Below are 19737 nucleotides of genomic sequence, written 5' to 3'. Positions count from 1 at the left end.
TGTTAGTCAGGATGGTCTAGATCTCCAGACCTCGTGATCTGCCCGCCTCAGCCTCCCAAAGTGCTGGGATTACAGGCATGAGCCACCCTGCGCGGCCTGAAAGGCTATTTTAAAGGAAAAAATTTCATATGTAAGAGAAAACTTGGTTATCTGTAGCTTATACTCATAAATTGTACTTATTCAGAGCATCTTGGCTCCCCTTAATAAAGTTTAACATGTGAAATGTGACCATATGCATGTTTGTATATGTGTGCATATGGTATCTATAAATAATCTTAGCAAATTTGTAATGTCTCAGATATTTGGAAATAAGTAAATTTTAAGGTGAGTTTTTATACCATTAGTCTGGGAAGACAGCTCTAAGTAGATACATTTTGATCTTCCTAGCACATATTCTTCCCTTTAAAATTTCCTTGTACCCTATCTCTGAAACATTTCTTGAGGGACTTGGGCATAAGAAACCACTGCTATTGCAAAAATATCCCTGTCTTTGATTACAAATGACTGAACCAGTCATTTGTGACTGGTTCTTGTAAATGAATCCAGAGGCTGGGCTCAGTCAAAGTATATTTCTGTTTACCTTTTTTTTGAGACATATGTCATAGGTATGTGGTCAGAACTTAAACTGAAAAACCAAATAAAGTTAAGACTGTCAATATTTTTAGTCTATGTGTATTCTTAGATGTAAGAAAAGGAAGCCATTCTTTAAGTAGAATGCGGCAGACATGAAAAGCAAAGCAAAACCCAGAAAACTTGATTCCACAAAAGGCATAAGTAGTCATCCCAATATTTTATTTTCATCTTTACTTCTCATTTTTATTTTCCACAGAACATTTATAACACAGAAATGTACCATGTATCCTCCCCTTGAATGTCTATAAGATTGCGTTTTGTATATTTAAAATATATCCTGCCCGTCATTTACTTATGCTAGCAGTTGAAGTCTGATTCTTGCAATGAATGGTGTCCCAATAATATTAAATACTTATCTTATGCTTACTTTTAATTAATAGACAAGTAATGTGTTAAAGTATTAAACAACTCACTTATGCACAACAGTGAAAAATTCTGAAGTAGAACATATGTGTGAGTATATATATGTGTAGGTGATTTCTGTCTTGGGAAAATCTTATAGAAGTAATTCAGCTAGTGCCAGCATTGTGAGAGAAAATACACAGATGCAAAATGCCACAATATCAAAACCAAAATTTATTATCTTTAATTGCAATAATAAAATTACAAAGAGTGTTTAGATGAACAAATAAAGAAAAATCAATCTTTTGACATTGAATAGAATCATTGGAAGAGTAAATTTTGACAGGAATTGGACTGGAACAAATTAGTAAAATAAAATATTTGTATGTGTGAAAAAAGAACCAGGTTCATGAATGGGGAATTGATGCATGAAATTATATTTAATGAACACTACTTTGAGTTGCCTATAGGATAACTTGAAATAGGTAAAGACTAGAGTTGAAATATGTGAAGACTACTAGAGTACCCCAAAGATAGAATTACAAAGATGATTACGTTCAAGGACATATATAAATAAATAGTATTCAAGAATCATAGAAAATTATTGAAAGAAAATTATTTTTTGTATAAGGATTGATGACAGAGAGAAAAATGCCATCAGTAATTTTCAAGATAATTAGTTTGAGTTTTTATTTTTACAGTAGCTCACAGGTTAAAGAGTAATTCTAGTCATGCAGAAAGATAATTTTGTTTTTACCTGTTAAGTTGCTGCCATTGGTGAATTTACTATATAGACAGCTGGGGGAAGAAAGCATTTGGGAAATATTCACATGTACTTGATAAATATTTGAATGCAAAGAGTAATTAAAACTCTGTTTGCCTGTGCATTCATCAGAATGATAGATATAACAGAGGAAGAAGGCAAACCCTTAAGAGATATCAGAGTTAAAATTTGGGTTAATTTTTTTTTCTTTTTATATATATTATATATATTTTTTATTATACTTTAAGTTCTAGGGTATACGTGCACAACGTGTAGGTTTGTTACATATGTATACATGTATACATGTGCCATGTTGGTGTGAGATATACCTGATGTAAATTTGGGTTAATATTTGACCGATACTGTAATTGATTTGAAAAAAGTAATCAGAGATACAAAAAGAGACATGGAAGAGTAGGGTGCAGGGCCAATGATGAGTAAGTTTAAAGAAGAAAAGTGTAGTCAGTTGTTAAATATGTCTCACAGGGAAATAATTGGATTTGGCCAGAAAAAAGTATCTCTAGCAAAAAAGATCTTTCTAAAAAATATCTCTTTTATTATAATGGAGAAGTTGAAAGGTAGATTTCAGTAAAAGAATGTTAAAACGATGAATAAGTGAAGCAGACTGAGTTACTCATGAAATTACAAATTAAGTCTGATATTAAGTACAATAAAACTCAGGACAACTTAGATTTCTACAAAACTAAGGAATATGTTCTTTAAATGCATACATTCAGTTTACTGGTCTCTATTTTTCGTATCCTAATCTTTTGTACTTTTATGTTTTATTAGTATACCCAACTTTAATACAGAATTTTTTGCAGGTACAAAATTGGAAATGTTGGCTTCACCAGAACCTAAGGGCCTTGTTCCCTTCACTAAAGAGTCTTTTGAACTTATAAAACAGCATATTGCTAAAACACATAATGAAGACCATGAAGAAGAAGACTTAAAGCCAACTCCTGATTTGGAAGTTGGCAAAAAGCTTCCATTTATTTATGGAAACCTTTCTCAAGGAATGGTGTCAGAGCCCTTGGAAGATGTGGACCCATATTACTACAAGAAAAAAAATGTGAGTATTAATTGAGATTATTTTGATGACATTTTTATTATTTTATTTCCAGACATACAGAAAATGTAATTGAGATAGGATACAAAAAGATAATGAAAAACAGGGAAAGATCTGATTTTAAATTTTACAGAACGACATAAGATATCTCATTTTGGGAACACACATATTGGAGATTTTTGTCAAAACTGATATCTTACCTGGTTAGGCAGTATATTTTGGATTACTCTACTTCATAATATATGTATTAGTATGCCTTAATGTAAGTGAAATATTTTAAGGGAACATGATGATTGTCCATTTGTGGTTATCAATTTTAAAATGCCTATAAAATGCCCAGAACATGCTCAACAATTTAAAATGTTCAATATGATGAACTTACTCAGAAGTTAGAAAAGTAAATACAACCCGTATGTTATTTATCATTTTTATTCATTCATACATACATACACTTACTCCTTATCTCCAGAATGACTTTAGGCACCTACTACTATATGTCCAATCCCAGAACAAGCACAAAATGCTAAATATAAAAATAATTGCATTTAGAAATCAGAGATTGGTATGAACCAATGAAGCTGAAAGAATCATTAAGGATGCAGAATTTGAGTTATAGCTTAAAGAGCACTTCAAAGTTTTAATAAGGGAAAGAGAAGACCTATGTGTAGGCAAGAGCAGAGAATGATTCTGGAAGGAGGAAAAGAGAAAGTGATGCTATAACTGGAAACTTAGCTGTTGCAAGTTACGAGATATGAGGTGAGATAATGGAGATATCAACATGGATTTAATATGGTGATCAAAGGACTGATGCAATGAATATAATGTTTAAGTAGCATTAACCCAGCAGATTTCTAAATGATGATTGCATGGAAGAGACAGGCCTAGAAAGATGAAATAACACAGAGAGTAATCCGGGACTGAAGTCGCAAGGAGACAGAGAGAACAAAGCTGAGAAGAAACAGCATGACCTGACTGACTAAAAATGCCAAGGTTTTCAGCTTAGAGGAATGGTGATGCCACTGACAAAATGAAATAACTAGAAAGAATATCAAATTCGAGGGAGGTGATGATTAGCTTCATAGCAAACGTAATTTGATATTCTTGTAGAGCATTCAATGATATTATCAAATGGGTGACAAGGAATTGCACCACATTCTCTGGATGGAAGACAAAGTGATTTTTTTTTTAATAAATTACAGTTATTTGGAATACTTGTCATGGTGGAAGATTATTGACATTTTACAGTAGAAATGTATATATTAACTTAAATGACTGCAGTATCTCGGGTAGCCTCCATGGGCATTATGCAGCATTGTTATAATATACATGCTTAATCTTGAGAGCATTTTAATGAAAGTATAAGTTAGGCCCTCATCTCAATTACCTCTACATTCAGTTTTTGCTATGTTTATGTCATAATAATTGATATGGCACAGTAACTGTAGGGATAGGTGTAATACTGCAGAGTTCTGAGTACCCTGCTGCATGTACAGACATGGCTGGCAAAGTGCTAGTTCTGTTATTGAAGACAAAACCAAAGATTTTGCAAAATAAACCAAGGCCCAGAGTTACTCTTGGTCTAGTTCCCATGAAACATCTGGAGCAAGAACTGCACGGATAGCTTGGTAGAAAAGTGCTGTTACAAACGACAATTTATTTGACTTGTATTTGGTTTATTCTGTTAAAAGTGGCATAAAATAAATACTTTTATAATTAACAAAACAGTTTCAGCTCTTAAATTGGGAGATTATTATACCTAAAATTAGTCATTTCATCACAATGGCATATATTACATCTTGTGTGAAGTTTGAGATTGTTCTGGAAAATAGCATGAAAAGCACATTTTAAAAAATCAGATTTACTTTGGCTCTTTTTAATTTTTATTTTCTGTTTGCATTTAAAATAGAGGGAAAATAGCTATAGTGTAGGTCAAAGTGTTCACAGATTGTGTGTTAGAAAAATATTATTTTATTAAGAATTATATCACAATTTGGTTTCCATTTAGAACACTTATTCATGAAATATTGTTGAATGTATATTTGTACTAAGTAGTCTATTTTTCTGTATATATACAAATATAAATAGAAATAATCACCTCTGTATAACATATAATACCGTAGTATCTAATAGATATTTAATATATAATTTTAGTATACTATAATTTATTGTGTTTCAGTATGTTATATGTTATAAATTATAAAATACACTCTTTTAGACTGTAAGCTATAAAATATTCACATTTGTATTTATACCCCACAATAAGATTTTTTTTCCAAATGGATATATGGTGGATATATATACACACTTTCACTGAATGTGTGTGTGTGTATATATATATATATATGTATATATATATATATACATATATATGTGTATATATATATACACAAATATAAAAATATGCAAACTTGCTCATTTACAGGTATATATATATATACACACACACACATTCATGTACATACACAAGCATGTACACATAGATATATGACTCAATTTTAATTTCAGAATATTTCTGATATTTCATTATTTTTTGTTAGAATTTTAATGCTTTAATATCTCAATGTATTAGGTTTACATGATATAAATTTCTGGTTTAGATATATGTATGTTAATGATATCATGCAAGTTTGGTTTTATTTCATAGACAATTGTTAAGAATTAATGTACTATTTCAATTCATTGGATCTTCTTTGCTATCCTAATCCCACATTTGATTTGCTCTGAAATAAAATCGAACTTTTAACATTCATTAACGTTCTCAGATACACCAGCTCTGGCATTTTTAAATGGATCTTCGTGAGCCATTGGGATATTGTGTTCTTCCTATTCTGTTCGTTCTCTAAGGAGACCAGGGGTTGGCTTGAGACAAACAACTTTCTCGGGTGTAGCAGTAGCAAAAAACTCAAAAAAACAAAAATGGTAGATAAATAGGCAAGCCTAAATATGAATAAAAACATCTAAAATCTTTCCATTTGACTTAGTCTATAAAAATATATAAAAAAAGAAGAGTATGGCTTTTAGAGTCCAAGACTATAATGATGATTGATTGGCAGTTTATTGCATAATTGATGAGATTATGGTTCTGAGTTCTAATTTCACTTGATCGCTTTTCTTCTTACAGACTTTCATAGTATTAAATAAAAATAGAACAATCTTCAGATTCAATGCGGCTTCCATCTTGTGTACATTGTCTCCTTTCAATTGTATTAGAAGAACAACTATCAAGGTTTTGGTACATCCATATCCTTTTCTGTTGACTTGTTGACTTTAAACTGTGCTGACATTAACTGCAACTATACTATTATTCAATTATTTCTGCAGTATTTTTCTCTTTTCAATTTATATCTCATGTTGGGTCATATTGAAATCTAGATTATACTTCATTAAGTGTTCCACATTTGAAAATACATATAAAGTATATTTTCTAATATACACAACAATAGTAAATATTAACAAATATTAATGCCCATTGTTGTTCAATAAGATTAATATTTTTCAACATTTAAGAAATATATATCATAGAAATATATCTTTTCCAATATTATTTATTAACTATTATTCCTTGACTATAAGCTACCTTTTTCCAACTGTTTATTCTAATTAGTGTCCTGATTGATTGCGTATTCATGTCCCTGACTAATTTGCCAAAATGGAGACCAGTATTAGAGTATGTTATATAATTATTTTATACATAATATCATATATAATTGTATATTTTTAATATTTTACATTTTATTTTAATAACATTGAATTATGATACATTATATTTTATATTATAATAAATTTAATATTTGTTAATGATTAAGATAATATTTCAGTGCTTCACATCTATTTTCTTTGCTATTGCAATCTCATTCCTGATTTGCTTCTAACTCAGGTAACTTTCATTCCTTTCCATTCATTAAGAAAATCACTTTCTCCCTTTCTGTTCTATTCCTCTCTTTCCTAGGACATACCAGTAGTATGACTTGCATTGGACTGTAAGGATGGAAAGGCCCATTAAATTTTCTGGGGGAAAAGGCTTTCTTGAAGTTACCTTTTGAGTTTTTATTATTAAAACTAGTTGATTTTGGAAGGTGACTGTAACAATATCACCATAAAAAATCCTTGAATATATATATAATAAAATTAGATCTTACACATGCCCTTAATGATGATTATTAATTATTGTGTAATCCCTATAGGGAGCAAATTTGATATTTGATGTTTTTGTCATTTACCTACATAATGTATAAAGACTATCACCTCTCAGCTAGGATTTATTGAACTTTTTTTTTTTACTTTTTGTTTAACTTTCAAGTTCAGAGGCACAAGTGCAGGTTTGTTCCATAGGTAAACTTGCGTCATGGGGTTTTGTTGTGCAGATTATTCATCACGCAGGTATTAAGCCTAGTTCTCATTAGTTATTTTTTTCATGATCCTCTCTCTCCTCCCACCCTCTAACCTCCAAAAGGCCCCAGTGTCTGTTGCTCCCCTCTATGTGTCCATGTGTTCTCATCATTTAGCTCCCACTTCTAAGTAAGAACATGCAGTATTTAGTTTTCCATTTCTGTGTTTGCTAAGGATAATGGTCTCCAGTTCCATCCATGTTCCTGTAAAAGAAAATTCATATGGAACCAAAAAGGAGCCCAAATAGCTAAGGCAATCCTAAGCAAAAAAAACAAAGCTGGAGGCATCTTGTTACCTGACTTCAAATTATACTACATGGCTACAGTAATAAAAAAATTTAAAAGTCAAATGTCATGACAAATGCTATAAGACACAGCCTACCCTATTTAAAGCATTGAGCTAGGGCTTTAAATTCTGTTTAAAGCATTGAGCTAGGGCTCAAGGAGCACTTGCTTTCTTGAATGTTGTCTAATTTATTGGTGGTTGGTTGGTTTTGGCCTACCAAGTAGACCTGGTCTCACCTTCCTGATGACTTATTCTTAAATGCCAGCTAGTTATCATAAACATAGTATTTCAGAGTTGACAATGTATTATTCTCACCAATAATATTTATATGAAAAAATTTCTGCAGGAATACTTTGCTTGGAATTTACACATTTGAAATACTTGTAAAACTCTTTGCAAGAGGTGTCTGGGCAGGATCATTTTCCTTCCTCGGTGATCCATGGAACTGGCTCGATTTCAGCGTAACTGTGTTTGAGTGAGTATTTCTTTAAATTGAGTCTATTTTAATGTTTTGCTCAGAAAATGTTTTTCATAAAAAATAATTGACGTCTGCAAAGATTTTGGCCTGCAGATAGTCTGCAAGTGAAGAATACTTCAAAGTTATGGTCATAGTGAGCTCTCTCAGCTGCCTCTGACCTAGTCCTCAGAAGATGCAATAAGAATGAAAGGAGTGGGGGGAGGGGGAGGGATAGCATTAGGAGATATACCTAATGTTAAATGACGAGTTGATGGGTGCAGCACACCAACATGGCAAATGTATGCATATGTAGCTAACCTGCACGTTGTGCACATATACCCTAAAACTTAAAGTATAATAATAAAAAAAGAATGAAAGGAGTGGGTTATTTTCTGCTTTCTATTTGGAGCAAGAACGATAAAGATTGAATTTGTGCATTTTAAGTGTGCCTTTTAGTGATCAGTGAGCAAATCCCTTGAATACTTAGGAGAAGGTCCTAGCAGATTTGATTCTCAATTCCCAATCTACGTTGCATGTAGCTACATTGCATAAGACCAGTAAATATGCTAGAGATCAGAATAACATATCTTAAACACCACCCCCCCCCCCACATTTTCTGGAATGCTTCATACAATTCTAACAATTTCATGTCTCTTTTTAAAATGCTTCTATTTAGTGTATTCTGTTTTCTAGCTATGGAAATCATTACTGGCATCAAACTCTTGTTAAAAATAATTTAAAGTAATTTTCTATTTGTAGATTTTGGGTCAGTTTTTAAAATAACATTTATAAACAGCATAAAGATGTCTGCTATGTTGTAAGCAATCTAACATAGTGTCTCATATCACTGTAATTATTACCATCACTACTTTTACTATTATTACCATTATCTTTGCTGTTTTGCTGTTTCTGTTAGCTAACACTTACAGAGCCCTTCCTATGTGCCAGGTGCTCTTCTATGTACTTCACATAAATTAATTCATTAAATCTCTCAAAAAACCCTCTGAATCAGAAAGTATTATTAACCCCACTTTACAGTTGAGGAAACTGAGGCAAGAAAGATTTAAATAATTTGCTCATGTTGCACAGTTAGTTCATGGTAGAGCCTGGATTTCTACACAAGCAGTCTGGCTTCAGAGTCTGTGCCCTTAAACAACACACAGTCTGCTTATACCTTCATCACCATCATCCTCATCCTCATCCTCTCTTCATCTTTATTCTCATATCACCACCATAATTACCATCATCATCACTGTAAGTTTAAATACTTAAAATGAATCTTATTCCTTAAAACACTAGATATTCATTTTTCATTGTAACTATCTTTTCAGTAATTAGATAAAAGATTTATGAACATAGTATAGAATATTTGATGAGAAATTGAGCATTCACAGTGTCAAACTTTTGTAAACTCTCATAATATAGATTAATATTTACCTGGCCACTTTCCACTGTAGCAATCTTTGTCTTCTAATCAATAATAAAACTGTTTGCAATATGGAATCATGTGATCAAGGGAAATGTTTGCATATATGGTTTTAAAAATAAGTTTCAATAACCATAAAAAGCCAAGAATAAGTAGCACAGATGTAATATGACTTTTAAGTAACTCTAATTTAATTCCACAGGGTTATTATAAGATACTCACCTCTGGACTTCATTCCAACGCTTCAAACTGCAAGAACTTTGAGAATTTTAAAAATTATTCCTTTAAATCAAGGTAAGAAATTGCATTGAATGTCTTTTCTTCATTTTGTTTTATGTACTGCCATGTATTCACTTGAACTTCCCTGTTGTTGTTCAGAGGAAATATTGAATAATGTTTCCACTTTGAAACCAGTGAGTTATCTGAAATTTACATTTATGTCACTCCAGGAAAGAGAAGAAAAAACGTACATTGACTGTTATTTATTTGGTGTAGGCTCAATTTTTACAAAACCAAAATATATACATCAATGAAATATATTTTAATTTATAATTCTTACAAATTAAATATGAACTTATAAAATTCTTCTTAGACTTCTGAGAGAAATAGTGGTCTAGACAGATGTCTAATCTGCCTCTTTCTTTTCCTCATTTTATCAAGAAACCAGTTGACATGAACAAAGTAATATAAAATAAGATGAATTCCCCTTTGCTTTGAGTGCTTGGATAGGGTGCAATTCACATGCCATAAAATTCATCTTCCATCAATGTGGTTGTGACTTTATCACATTGATGGAAGATGCTGAAGACTAAGTTACAGCTCCCATTTCTAAAGACATTCTAACAGAAACACACCAACACCTTCTAGTTTGTTATTGTGAATGAATAAGGACAATTAGATAAGAACAACTCTACCCAGAATGTTTCAGCTGCAATTCAGAAGTGTTATGAAATAGCTGTATCAAGAAAACAAAGGAGGAATATAATAAAAGCAAAAACAAAGCCTACAGGCTTCTTTCTGGTCTATGAAAGAAGACCACATTGTACACATTAAGCTATTGAATTGTGGGGCTTGTGAATTATATCTCAGTAAAGCTGTTTAATAAAAACTGTCTGTGGCATGGCAGCTTTACCAAATCTAGTGAAGGAATCAGTGAGAGTTAACCTGGTGGGAATTTTCACAGCTCTAGCTCCCTTACTACTCCCCACATATTTCACATGCATCTTCATCCTAAGACTAGAGGTAAGAATTATTAAATAAATCAGATGAATTCAAGTTGTAATAATACAAGAAGAATTCATTCACTAGAGTTGGAAGCCTGCAGGCTAGTAGGGACCTCTCACTCTTTTTTTCAAGGGAGAATATACTAGACACATACCAGCAATATGGAGTGTATGAAAATATTTTGCAATATAGAAAGAGAAACATATATTTAATAGAAAGAAAGTATCCTCTTTTAAAATAAATGTGCTTAAAAATAGAAGCATACATAATAAATTATCTTTTTACATTCTCTCAACAGAAGATGAAATGAGAGAGTAATATAGGCAAATATAACTAACTTTAAGACAAAAAAGTGATAAAAATTACACTACCCTAGATGAATATTCAGTGGTAATGGAAGCCGTAAAATAGTATTATAAGTGCATCAAACAAGCACACTTGTATAAAGAAAGACTAGAGGAATTCTATATTAATACAGTAGAACTGAAAAATGGAATGGATTAATGAAGGAGAAAAAACTAAATTCCATCTTATGCATAAACAGTGATCCTGAAAACAGACCAGAATGAATATAAAAGACAAATTATTGAAATATATACAATAGAAAAAACTTAAAAAAAATTTTAACTGGAAAAAGACCCTACAAATGAAAGAGATCAGCTTATACTAGATAAATAATAACTACAATACACACTTAGACATATTGTAAAATGTTATAAATGTAAAGTATTAAAGAATAAAAGTATTATAAAATTCTTCAAGCAAAAGGGCAAGAAACATACATCGTGGACAGGTCACCCTTAGACCGCATGTTAATAGTAAACTTAAATAGACAGTGGAGTTTCAGAGCTTGGGGGAAAGTGTAGGCAGGGAAGTTGAGACACTAGAATTCTATACTTGGCTGTCATTTGTATGTGTAGTCAACAAATGTATGTTCTCAGCTATACAAGAGTTCTCAAACTGTACATGTGTATCTTTTCAGAATATCTGCTGAAAAAGTAAGTATGAAAATGAAATATTTAGCAATGAGAGTATTTAGTTCTAAAAGTAATTGCAACGAGCTCTGAAACCATTTCGACACAGAATGGATTGCAAATTACTGCTGTTAGTGAGTTGCAAAACAGAATGCAAATATTACAAATCAGAAGTTACCACATGGACTTCCGTGGTTCATTCTTGAACTAGAGACATATTTTATTTGTGTTTTAGAAAACTTTGAAATAGTTGTCAATATTATAAAAATTTAATGATTTTATTTTGAAATCCAATTTAACTTGAATTGTCAGGTTAGGTCCACCTACATTTATGAACAGCAACAACCTGCTGTAGATGAAGAACAGCTGCCACTTTCAGTCAGGCAGATTCATCTGAGTCCTCTCAACTCTCTGTTTGTGTGAATTTATGCTTCCTGGCAAGCCCTTGTAAGGATTTGAATTTTATCCTTTCTATAAATCATGATAGATAATATGTGATACAAAATACATAACTCAACAATTATAACTAGGTCAAAGGTCATTACTTATATTAACAAAAACTGAGAAGTAAGAATAGAGAAATGTAAGAAAATAAATACAGTTATTTTCTCACCTTATGTGGTGGGACTGAGTAGACACAGTCTTATTGATGTAGAGATATGCATGTTATTTCAAAATAGGAACTTAAATTGGATATAAGTTCTCAAAACATGTATTTTATCTAAAATAATAAAGGAAAAAATAGACACAGTAAATTTATTGACAAAGGAAAAGAAACACAGTGAATAATAAGGAGAATATAGAAATAAAAAAAAGTAAAGGTATATTCCAGTGTAAACCTAATTTATGAAAATAAATGCAATTGGTTTAAATTTTTTTTATCAAGGCAGAGACTTTAATATGAAGTCAGAAATACAATTAAACTCTATAATAGACTTACTTAAGCTAAGCAAAACAAAGGTTAAAATTTAAAAGGAGGAGGAAGTTATACCAGAAAATTAAGATCGAAATTGGTGTAAGACCCGGAACTTTCTAACAAAATATAATTAGTATATACTAATGAAAATTATTAACAAACTTAATTTTATAAAAATGTGATGGTGTCATTTTTTTCCATCAAACAAAATGTCAGTAGTAAAATTAAGGCTCTGCCAAAAACTGGGTATATGATGGAAATTATCTATCTATCTATCTGTGTGTGTGTGTGTGTATATATATATATATAAACATATATAAAAACACATATATATATAAACACAGACATATATTTTTCTTTAAGAATTGCTCTTCTTAAAAACATTTCCAACAAAACAATATGAAAAAAATTCAGTATAAAGATATACTAAGGACTCATGACAGTTGCCAAATAAGCACACAGTGCAAATACACCTATTTTAAAAGTTTGGAATAGTAACTACAGAAATTACATTGAAGTCATTTTATTTTTTTCTAATAAACTGCCAACAATATTTCAAAATGTTCCAGTTCTAGTGAAGGCTTATAGTCTGGTTTATACATTGGTTCAACATCTCTCGAAAACTATGTGAACATGTGTATCAATGGTAAACCACTGTAGTATATTTGACACAGAAGTTCTATTATATATCTAGTATAATACTTTGAAAAGATTTGCTTATAGTAAAAAGAATGATATAATTCTAAGTGGTAAAAGGAGGCTATAAATAGATTTTATTATGATGTCAAATTAAAATTGTATATTTAATCTAGATTATCACACTTCTGTAGTCACAAGAATGACTTTATTTGAACCCTGTCATACTTTACTCAAGAAATCTAATCATCTAAGGTCATTCAAATGACAGTTTTCAATTCTCACAATAAGATAGAAAGTAGGTATTATTTCCATGTAAAAAAATTATAAAACTAAGGCATACAAATGTTGACTACTTGCATAGTTAACATCACAGAGTTAGTATATTCTCATTCATTATTGTTTTGAGCAGTTATTAGGATACTAATGCACACAGACTAGCAAATAAGAGAGCAAGTGAAAAAGAAAAGGGAGGAGGGAGGGAAGGATGGAAGAAAGAAAGAAAGTTTATATACAAAAAATTTAATAGTAATTCTATGAGATATGATTATGTTATTTTTGTTTTTTCTTGTTTTCTACTTTCAGAAGTCAGCATGTGTTATTTATAATTAGAAAAATGAATATCCTTAAATAAAGCCAGCTTTAGGTTTGAGTTCTCTATTAGTATTCTGATATAAATACAGTTTACATAGACCACAGTTGTGTTATTCTCTTTCCTGCTTATTGAAATTATTCAAATTGAATTATTATAAAGTCAATTACAGAATAACATATAATACTGCTGTTTCAAACTGTTTCTTTTTTCAAGAACATTTTAATTTTGATTTATAACCTTACACTTTTCTTTATGTTTGCAAACACTGGAGGTTAGTATGACAAGTAGATACCAAGAGAGGGAGATTGTTTTTCTTTGTAAAGAGAAACAAACAAATGATTAATTTTAAATAGTGTGTCTGAATTATTTTGTTAGGTGTTAAAAATTAGCAATAATACATAAACCTCAACTTTTGATTTAGTATTCACTTTATTTATGAGGCCCAAATAATTAGAATTACATTATAAGATAAAACTGTTGATTTCAATGGAGTATGCAGTTGCTGTGGGAGAGGTTTGCCAATAGTGCTTTTCTAAGATATTACATTATTTCGAAAACAAATGTTTCTCTTTCCAGGTCTGAAATCCCTTGTAGGGGTCCTGATCCACTGCTTGAAGCAGCTTATTGGTGTCATTATCCTAACTCTGTTTTTTCTGAGCATATTTTCTCTAATTGGGATGGGGCTCTTCATGGGCAACTTGAAACATAAATGTTTTCGATGGCCCCAAGAGAATGAAAATGAAACCCTGCACAACAGAACTGGAAACCCATATTATATTCGAGGTAAGAATCACCTTGCCATGTATATCAAAAATTGAAACTTTCGTTAAAGGCAAAGCAGTCTTCCCAGAAATGTTGAACACTCAACATTTTGTTAGATTCCCAAAGGCGCTGGTTGAAAGGCAAGGATATTTGCTCTTTTCTTCACAATTGCAGAAAGGTATTTTAGCTTCTGCAGAGATCCAAATGGACTTCTACTGTGGTGCTAACTCATAATTACATATAGAATATCATTTCTTGCCTGTTTTTCAGAAACAGAAAACTTTTATTATTTGGAAGGAGAAAGATATGCTCTCCTTTGTGGCAACAGGACAGATGCTGGGTAGGTGGTATTAGTTTTATTCTATTAAATCATTATCACCTGTCAATAGTATTTAATGAAGGACTATTGCTTTTACTGTTGCTTCCCATTTGATTGTATTATCTCATTTCATCATCAAAACCATACTGAGAAGTTGTCTTAGTCTACTCAGGCTGCATTAACAAAATACCACAGACTGGTTGGTTTAAAAACAACAGAAGTGTATTACTCACAGTCGGGGAAGCTGAGAAGTCCAGATCAAGGTGCTGGGCCAGTTTGGTGTCTGGTGAAGGCCTGTCCTCTGGTCAATAGATGGTACCTTTTTGCTGTGTCCTCACATAGCAGACGAGGCCAGAGGTTTCTCTCAGGCCTTTTCTCTGAGGATATCGATCACATTCAAGAGGACTTCACCCTCGTGACCTAATCACCTATCAAAGGCCCCATCTCCTAATCACATTGGGAGTTAGAATTTCAATATGAATGTTGAGGGGACACAAACATTCAGACCATAGCAGAAGTATGCAATGTGGAATACTATTCATCCAATTTTATTAAAAAAGCAATAGGCAGACTAATTCAATGATTTCTTCAAGGTCTAGAAGCTAGTAAATGGCAGAGCTGGGACTTACACAAGAATCTTATCTTCTGTTTTCAAGAGTGCTCCAGAGCTAGTGAGAATGACGAAGAAAGACAATATAAATCTATCATTTGGAAAGAAGTTTTGGGAGAAAAGAAATATTAAGGATAGGCTGATGGGAGCCGCGATAGCTCGGGCTGGTTGTCCTGGCGTGCAAAGAGGCAAGGCTGCATGTTTGAGGCCAACCTGGGCAACATTGAAAGCCTCACATCCATTTAAAAAAAAATTAAAAAGATACGCTGATATTTCACTTATTTAATCTCTTATATGTTTTTATGACTATAATTTACATTAGTAAAAACCTCGTTCTTAAAATCAGCATTTCAAAATAATTCTTAAGTGAGATGACATAACTGTCATGTCTCATTGTCCTATAATTTCAGATGAAAATTACAATTCATAAAGGGGAAACAGGGCACTTCTCAGCAATGTGACTCATGTAATTCCCTCCTGTTGCTTTGCTTAGCTGGGATGACTTGGCAGCCATCTGTAAACTCAGTTCTTTCTTACACTCTGGTGCCCAGGTTAACAAAAGGCTTCTGGGGGAGGAGAGCATGAGTTATATGGTTTAGTTAAATTCAGGGGATTTTGACATTTTCTCACTTGCTCAGCACACATATATGTATGTATGTGTGTATATATATACACACACATACATATATACACATATATATACACACATATGTGTATATATATGTGTATATATTCGTATATATACGTATATATACACATATGTATGTCGTATATATATACATATATATATGTGTATGTGTGTATGTATAGTTTGTTTGAGACCGAGTCTTGTTCTGTTGCCCAGGCTGCAGTGCTGTGGCACAATCTGTGCTCATTGTAACCTCTGCCTCATGGGTTCAAGCAATTCTAGTGCCTCTGCCTCTCAAGTAGCTGGGATTACAGGCATGTGCCACCACTACTGGCTGATTTTTGTGTTTGTAGTAGAGATGGGTTTTCGCCGTGTTGCCCAGGCTAGTCTTGACCTCTTGGGCTTAAGCGATCCACCCACCGTGGCCTCCCAAAGTGCTGAGTGTATAGGTATGAACCAATGCACCCTGCGCCTGGCCTCAGTACATATTTTTTTGCCCAGCTCCTGCTGGGCTCCCATTCTGTTCTCATATCCAAATGGTGAACCCATCTCTTTGTATCTGTCCCATCCCATTTCAGCTAATTCCTTTTATGTACATTCCAAGCTCAAATATGACCCGAAATACATTTTGGCTATATTTTGGATACACATGGTCATGGATATTCAGGATACAATGGTATATTTCAAGGCAAGAAGAGAAAGTCATGCAGTGTTTCACCTGCAGCAGTCATACTTGGCTGCATGGTAAACTATCCCAAAACAACAAGACAACAACAATACTTCATTTGCTCAGATAGTATGGGTCAGCAATGTAGCAAGTCCCAATGCACAAGTGATTTTTAAATCTCTCCTTGTTCCATTAAAACTACAACAAGTAACATGACTAAACCCAAAATAATGTGAGAGAAAACTACACAAGGGCGTGGAGAGAGGAAGCATGATTTACTGGACTGCCACTGTAATAATGGAACACAAGACCGAAACTCCCAAGTGGATAGAAATATGAGGACTCCCTAAAAGGAAATAAAATAAATATTTAATTTGATCTGCCTCCCCATGTGCAAATACTGCTTATAAATTATTGATGCGATAAATGTTTTCTCACCCTTAAATAATGGGTTCTAAGGGCTTTACATGAAGTCATTTGAAAATTATACCCTCAACCATTGCAGTTGTATCAGTACTATTTTCCATCAGTTATACCTTCACTCTGATGTTCAGATATTTCCCCTTTAATATTGGAGTAGTAAAGATATAGTTAATACAAGGTATTTTATTCTTGAAAAATGATAAGACGATAGATTTAAAGTATTCTCACCACAAAAAAATAAGTATGTGAGGTATGCATATGCTAATTAGCTCCATTTGGCCATTCCACAATATATACATATTTCAAAACAGCATGTTGTACTTCACAAATATGTACAGTTTCTCTTTGTCAATGAAAAAATAAAGAAATACAAAAAAAATAGCTTGGCAAAAACCACTTTTCAGGCCCCTTTTTATTTTCGCTTAATTAACACTGTTCACTGTATCAACTTATAATCTAACTCATGTGTGACTTTTTAGCAAGCAATTGTTTGGGAGCAGACATTACTCTCCCTGTGGAAGCGTGAGTTCTCTATTACTCAGGACTGATGTTCTATATTTATGATTTGACCATAATCTGATAGTCACCTAATAGTAAGCAGGTTTTTTTCTTTGTCTTCTTTAGTCAGTGTCCTGAAGGATATGTGTGTGTAAAAGCTGGCATAAATCCTGATCAAGGCTTCACAAATTTTGACAGTTTTGGCTGGGCCTTATTTGCCCTATTTCGGTTAATGGCTCAGGATTACCCTGAAGTACTTTATCACCAGGTAAGAACAGAGAGAAATTGTACTGTACTTAGGAATGGCACCATGCCCTTGCTTCTAAGATAATGGTCAAATGTAATATAGTTTTTTAAATTTTTATGTGCAGAAGAATTGGAAGACAAAAGAAAAGAGAACTAGAATTACTGAATGTCAAATTATATGCTGGCCACATTGCCAGGTGTATTATATCTTATTTAATCTTTGAAACAATTCTACAAGGTCAGAGAGAGAGAGAGAGAAGAGAGGAGAGAGAGAAGAGAGTGTGTGTATTTGTATGTGTGCTTTTTTTTTTTTTTTTTTTTTGAGACGGAGTCTCACTCTGTCACCCAGGCTGGAGTGCAGTGGCACAATCTCAGCTCACTGCAAGCTCCGTCTCCCGGCTTCACACCATTCGCCTGCCTCAGCCTCCCGAGTAGCTAGGACTACAGGCGCACGCCACCTCGCCCGGCTAATTTTTTGTATTTTCAGTAGAGGAGGGGTTTCACCGTATTAGCCAGGATGGTCTTGATCTCCTGATCTCATGATCCTCCCGCCTCAGCCTCCCAAAGAGCTGGGATTACAGGTGTGAGCCACCTCGCCCAGCTGTGTGTGTGTGCTTTTTATATGAAGACACTAAGATTTAGAGAGGTCGAGTACCCTCCCAAAATTTATAGCAGTTGAACCTCCCAGATCTCAGATCACTGTCTTGTTTCAAAGCCTATGATATTATGCATTTGGTAATCACTAAAGAACATATCTAGGTATTAATTCTTTAGTTGAAACATTTTGAATTTATGACATTACCATATCTTAAGCAATTATTTATTGAATATATACAGTGTCCTGTTTCTTTTTGTTCTTCTATTTCTTCTTATCCAGTTCAATATTCAACCATGTTCCAGTTACAATAACAGAAGGCTTACTGTAATGAGAATTGAAATTCAAATTCTGAGAGTCTGTATTCGTAACTAATTATGTATGTGTCATAGTTTCTCAGAAAGGTATGATATTCATGAAAATGGGGATTCAGTTTTTCTTCAAAGATAAGTTCTATCATAGTAGAAAATAGTGTTATTTTCAAAGCAGCATTACTCTAACTTCTGAAGTTATTCATAGTTGAAGGAGAACATTCTTTATTTTTAAACAAACATACATACACATCCAGTCCATGCTTATTTTGGTTGACTTGATAAATTGTGGGCAATATATGTGTATATATGGGTCATTAATGATGATAGGCTAATATAATATATTTGGGGCACAGACAAAGTTTCATAATATATTGTTAAATGGAAATCAAATAGACCAAACATGCATGCAGCATAATTGTATTTTTGGTAAAAAAAAAAAAAAAAAAAAAAAAAGAAAATATTACAAGTGACATTTTTACACAAACTATATTTTTGTAATTTTGTTAGACTAGTACTTGCATTGGTATTTCCAGTCTCTTTGATAAGATTCAGTGCTTTCTCCAAAACATTAGGAGGTTCTTATTTCTAAAATAATCTTATCACATTACCCTTCTTCTAAAAATCCTTCAGTGTTTTTCAAATTCCAACTCTATATGCATGATATATAGTGCCCTTCAAGGTCTCATCTGCCTACATCTCCTGATTTATTTCTTAACATACTCTAATATATACTCTCTGTTTAATTATTCAAAGGATTTGCTGCTTCCTAAATGAGCTTTTCTCATAATATCATATTTCCATGTATGTTGTACCCTCTCCCTAAATTTAAGTTTCCTCCTATCTGCCTTCAGTTTCAGGCTTCAAATTTATGCTGTGAAACCATGATTTCTTCCTTGAGCTTTTCCCCAAGCCCAGTGTAGGAGTAAGGCACATCCTACACTGGAATGCTATGGTTCACTATACTTT

General features: G+C 32.6%; 1 protein-coding gene across 9 annotated transcripts in view; it reads left to right on the top strand.

The window, feature by feature from the left end:
* The window catches only part of SCN7A (sodium voltage-gated channel alpha subunit 7), a 90677-nt gene that overhangs the window by 13977 nt on the left and 56963 nt on the right, over positions 1–19737 (top strand). For all 9 annotated transcript variants that reach the window (NR_045628.1, XM_006712680.3, NM_002976.4 and 6 more), the window contains 8 exons: positions 2563–2810; positions 5929–6047; positions 6385–6474; positions 7828–7956; positions 9567–9658; positions 14286–14492; positions 14742–14811; positions 17743–17884. Coding sequence is in view for 8 of the 9 variants with exons in the window: in XM_006712680.3 (XP_006712743.1) it covers positions 2577–2810; positions 5929–6047; positions 6385–6474; positions 7828–7956; positions 9567–9658; positions 14286–14492; positions 14742–14811; positions 17743–17884 (1083 nt within the window). In the remaining variant the exon portion in view is untranslated. The remainder of the gene's footprint in view (positions 1–2562; positions 2811–5928; positions 6048–6384; positions 6475–7827; positions 7957–9566; positions 9659–14285; positions 14493–14741; positions 14812–17742; positions 17885–19737) is intronic.

The sequence above is a fragment of the Homo sapiens genome, chromosome 2 (genome assembly GCF_000001405.40).
Source record: "Homo sapiens chromosome 2, GRCh38.p14 Primary Assembly".
NCBI lineage: Eukaryota > Metazoa > Chordata > Mammalia > Primates > Hominidae > Homo > Homo sapiens.
This window is presented reverse-complemented; position numbering and strand designations above follow the sequence as displayed.